Raw genomic sequence first — 5,765 nt, 5'->3', positions numbered from 1 at the left:
GACATTTCAGTTAATATCACATGGTAACCTTTCAATATTTTTTTGCATTTATACATAAGAAAGCACATCAACAGTTTATATTCAATGGTAAACAATTATCCAAATTCTAAATGCTATGTTGGTAATAGTATCACTGTTAACCTTGCTTAGCAAAATCATTTTATTTACTTGCTAATATGAAAGAGCTAATATACTATTTTAGTTAACATTCTTGGAAAATCAAGCATCTTGGATTCCTTTTTTTTTTTTGAGATACAGTCTCGCTCTGTTGCCCAGGCTGGAGTGCAGTGGTGTGATCTCGGCTCATTGCAACCTCCGCCTCCCGGATTCAAGTCATTCTCGTGCCTCAGACCTCCTCAGTAGCTGGGATTACAGGTGCACGACACCACACCCAACTAATTTTTGTATTTTTAGTAGAAATGGGGTTTCACCATGTTGGCCAGGTTAGTCTCGAACTCCTGACCTCAAGTCATCTGCCCGCCTCGGCCTCCCAATGTGCTGCGATTACAGGTGTGAACCACTGTGCCCAGCCACATCTTGGATTCTTACCAGTTCAGCATGCAAAGCTATCTGTTTTGCCAGTCCAACAGAATCACATATCTAAAAAGAGAAAAAGTATGAAAAATTCAGGCAGTTCTCACAACAAAGCAAAAATGTCAAGTATCCAAATAACTGATGGAACTAGTTTTATAACTAATCCTAATACATTGCTTCAAGCAAAAGCATATTTAAGAATGCTCAAGCCCCCAAACCAAGGCTTTGTATGTTTTCCTTGAAGTCTACAGGATTCCACTGCTGACTCTCACCTTCATATATACCCCACTTCTTGTTATGTCAAATTCATTACTGTCACAGTAAGGCCTACGAGGAAGAAGCATGCAGCTGCTAATGCTATTCTCAGCTGAAGACATCTGAAAATGGCTGGTTTTGGTTCCCAACATAATGTTTGGTTCCCAACATAAATGAGAGGCTAAAAGATTGCACCAGCTATCAGTGGCAGGGAAAACATGGGTCTGTAGAGTCAGAAGGCCCAAACCATCAGCTTGGCTCTATTCAGAGATGCTTTGCTCAAGCAGCTCAGTAAGCCTAGGCAAAATTTGGGAGTTTTTTCCAAAAATCTTAGAATTATATAAGAATTTTATTTACACAAAAAACTACAAAACACTGATGAAAGAGACTGAAGACACAAAAGAACATCCCATGCTCATGGATCAGAATAATATAGTTAAAATAACCATATTGCCCAAAGCAATCTATAGGTTCAATGCAAATAGCCAAAGCAATCTTAAACAAAAAGAACAAAGCTGGAGGCATCACATTACCTAACTTCAAAATATATTACAAGGCTATAGTAAGCAAAACAGCAGGGGATTGTTATAAAAATAAGACACATGGCCAATGGAACAGAATAGAGAACCCAGGAACGAAGCCACTTGTTTACAGCCAACTGATCTTTAACAAAAGTGACAAAGAACTTTCACTGGGGAAGGGATATCCTCTTCAATAAATGGTTCTGGCAAGATTGGAGAGCCACATGTAGAAGAATGAAACCAGACCCCTCCCTCTCACCATACACAAAAATCAACTCAAAATACATTAAAGACTTAAACATAAGACCCAAAACTATAAAAATACTACAAGAAATTATAAGGATCAGAGCAGAAATAAATGAATCTGACATGAAGAAAACAATACAAAAGATCAACATAACAAAAAGTTGGTTTCTTTGAAAAGATAAAACTGACATTTAGCCAGACTAAGAAAAAGAAGACTCAAATAAAATTGGAGATTAAAAAGGTGACATTACAATTGATACTGCATAAATTCAAAGGATCATTCGTGGCTACTATGAGCAACTACATGCTAGTAAATTGGAAAATCAAGAAGAAATGGATAAATTCCTAGACAAATACAACCTACCAAGATTGAACCACGAAGAAATCCAAAACCTGAACAGTCCAATAACAAGTAACAAGATCCAAACCATAATAAAAAGTCTCCTGGTAAAGAAAAGCCCAGTACCTGATGGCTTTCCTGCTGAATTCTACCAAACATTTAAAGAAGAACTAATACCAATCTTACCCAAAATGTTCCAAAAAATAGAGGAGAAGGGAATACTTCCAAACTCATTCTACGAGGCCAGTATTACCTGATACCAAAACCAGACAAAGACATATCAAAAAAAGAAAACTACAGGCCAATATATCTCATGAATATTGATGCAAAAATCCTCAACAAAATACTAGCAAACCAAATTCAACAACACATTAAAAAGATCATTTATCATGACCAAGTGGGATTTATCCCAGGAATGCAAAGATAGTTCAACATATGCAAATCAATCAATATGCTACATCACATCAACAGAATAAAGGACAAAAACTATTTAATCATTTCAATTACTGCTGAAAATGCATTTGATAAAGTTCAACATCCCTTCATGATTAAAAACCCTCAAAAAAACTTGGTATAGAAGGAATATAGCTCAACATAATAAAAGCCATATATGACAGACTCACAGCTAGTATCATACTGAATGCAGAAAAACAAAAAGCCTTTCCACCTTTTAGATGGAAGATGAGTAATCAGGTAAGAGAGGAAAAAAGGCATCCAAATTGTAAAGGAAGAAGTCAAACTATCCTTGTTTGCAGATGATATGATGATCTTATATTTAGAAAAACCTAGACTCCACCAAAAAACTATTAGAACTGATGAATTCAGTAAAGTTTCAGGATACAAAATCAACATACAACAATTAGTAGCATTTCTATATGCCAACAGTGAACAATCTGAAAAAGAAATAAATAAAGTAATCTCACTTACAATAGCCACAGATAAAATTAAATACCCAGGAGTTAACCAAAGTGAAAGATCTCTATAATGAAAACTACAGGCTGGGCGCAGTGGCTCAGGCCTGTAATCCCAGCACTTTGGGAGGCCGAGACAGGTGGATCACTTGAGGCCAGGAGTTTGAGACCAGCCTGGCCAATATGGTGAAACCTCATCTCTACTAAAAATACAAAAATTAGCCAGGTGGTGGTGGCGCATACCTGTAATCCCAGGTACCTGGGAGGCTGAGGCATGAGAATTACTTGAACCTGGGAGGCAGACATTGCAGTGAGCCGAGATTATGCAACTGCACTCCAGCCTGGGCAATAGAATGAGACTCTGTCTCAAAAGAACAAACAAAAAAAACAAAAAACTATAAAACACTGATGAAAGAAATTGAAGAGGACACCAAAAATGGAAACATATTCCACGTTCATGGATTGGAAGAATCAATATTGTTAAAATGTCCATACTACCCAAAGCAATCTATAGATTCAATGCAATCCCTATCAAAAAACCAATGGCATTCTTCACAGAAATAGAAAAAACAATCTGAAAATGTATATGGAATCATAAAAGATTCAGAATAGCCAAAGTTATTCTGAGCAAAAATAACAAAATTAGAGAAATCACATTACCTGACTTCAAATTACAATGCTACAGAGCTATAGTAACCAAAACAGCATGGTACTGGCAAAAAAAAAAAAAAAAGACACATAGACCAGTGCAACAGAATAGAGAATCCAGAAACAAATCCACACAACTACAGCGAACTCATTTTTGACAAAGGCACCAAGAATATACATTGGGGAAAAGACAGTCCCTTCAATAAATGGTGCCGGGAAAACTGGATATCCATATGTAGAAGAATAAAACTAGACCCCTCTCTCTCACCATATACAAAAATATTTTTTAAAAAAATTTTTTTTTATTTTTTTTATTTTTTTTTAAATTTTTTTAAATATAATTAAAATGGATTAAAGCCTTAAATCTAAGACCTTGAACTATGAAACTACTACAAGAAAATATTGGGGAAACTCTCCAGGACATCAGTCTGGGCAAAAATTTCTTGAGTAATACCCCACAAGCACAGGCAACTAAAGCAAAAATGGACAAATGGGATCTCATCAAGTTAAAAAGTTTCTGCACTGCAAAGGAAACAATCAACAAAGTGAAGAAACAAGCCACAGAATGGGAGAAAATATTTGTAAACTACTCATCTGACAAGGGATTAATAACCAGAATATACAAAGAGCTCAAACAACTCTATAGGAAAAACCTTAATCTGATTTAAAACTGGGCAAAATATTTGAATAGACATTTTTCAAAAGAAGACATACAAATGGCAAACAGGCATATGAAAAGGTCCTCAACATCACTGATCATCAGAGAAATGCAAATCAAAACTACAATGTATCATCTCACCCCAGTTAAAATGGCTTATAGCAAAAAGGCAATAACAAATGCTGGGAAGCATGTGGAGAAAAGGGAACCCTTGTACACTGTTGGTGGGAATGTAAATTAGTATAACCACTATGGAGAAAAGTCTGGAGGTTCCTCAAAAAACTAAAAATAGAGCTACCATATGATCCAGCAATCCCACTGCTGGGTATATACCTAAAAAAAGGAAATCAGTATATTGAAGAGACATCTGCACTCCCATGTTTGCTGCAGCTCGGTTCACAATAGTTAAAACTTGGAAGCCACCTAAGTGTCCATCAACAGATGAATGGAAAAAAAAAAAAAACAACAGATGAATGGATAAAGAAAATGTACACACACACACAATGGAGTACTATTCAGCCAGAAAAAAAGAATGAGATTCTGTCATTTGAATGGATGATACATGGATAAAGAAAATGGATAAAGAAAATGTGGTACTTACATACAATGGAGTACTATTCAGCCATAAAAAAGAATGAGATTCTGTCATTTGCAATAAGATATATGGAACATGGAGGTCATTATGTTAAGCAAAATAAGCCAGGCACAGAAAGACAAATATTGCATGTTTTCACTTATCTGTGGGATCTAAAAATCAAAACAATTGAACTCATGGAGCCAGAGAACAGAAGGGTGGTTACCAGAGGCTGAGAAGGGTAGTGTGGGGATGGGGGGTGGGAGGATGGTTAATGATTAAAAAAAAAAAATAGAATGAATAAAACCTGGTATTTGATAGAACGGGGGACTACGGTCAATAATAATTGTACATTTAAAAATAACTAAAAGAGTATAATTGGATTGTTTCTAATACAAAGGATAAATGCTTAAGGGAAGGAATACTCCATTTTCCATGATGTGGTTATTACGCATTGCATAAGTGTAGCAAAATATTTCATGTACTGCATAAATATATACACCTGGCTGGGCGAGGTGGCTCACACCTGTAATCCCAGCACTTTGGGAGGCCGAGGCAGGCGGATCATCTGAGGTCGAGAGTTTGAGACCAGCCTGACCAACATGGAGAAACCCTGTCTCTACTAAAAATACAAAATTAGCTGGGCGTGGTGGCGCATGCCTATAGACCCAGCTACTCAGGAGGCTGAGGCAGGAGAATCGCTTAAACCCGAGGGGGCGGAGGTTGCAATGAGCCAAGATCGCGCCATTGCACTCCAGCCCAGGTGACACAGCAAGACTCCATCTGGAAAAAAAAAAAAAAATGCATACACACACACACACACACACACACACACACACACCCCTTGTACCCACAAAAAACGAAAAACAAAGATCATCCTACTTTCACCATTTTAGCTCTAATTAGTCTCTTGAGAAACTTTGTTAGTACGATATTCTCAATAATTGTTCTATTAAAGGTTCTTTTTCCAGCTGGGTGTGGCAGCTCATGCCTGTAATCCCAGCACTTTGGGAGGCCAAGGCAGGTGGATCACTTGAGGTCAGGAGTTCAAGACCAGCCTGGCCAACATGGTGAAATC

General features: G+C 37.1%; 1 protein-coding gene across 2 annotated transcripts in view; it reads right to left on the bottom strand.

The window, feature by feature from the left end:
• Positions 1 to 5,765, bottom strand: part of APPL1 (adaptor protein, phosphotyrosine interacting with PH domain and leucine zipper 1) — a 45,743-nt gene that overhangs the window by 5,130 nt on the left and 34,848 nt on the right. For both annotated transcript variants that reach the window (XM_011533583.4, NM_012096.3), the window contains one exon: positions 550 to 600. In XM_011533583.4, coding sequence (XP_011531885.1) covers positions 550 to 600 — 51 coding nt within the window. The remainder of the gene's footprint in view (positions 1 to 549; positions 601 to 5,765) is intronic.

Source organism: Homo sapiens, chromosome 3 (genome assembly GCF_000001405.40).
Source record: "Homo sapiens chromosome 3, GRCh38.p14 Primary Assembly".
NCBI lineage: Eukaryota > Metazoa > Chordata > Mammalia > Primates > Hominidae > Homo > Homo sapiens.
Note: the sequence above shows the minus strand (reverse complement) of the source record. Positions and strands in the feature narration are given on the sequence as shown.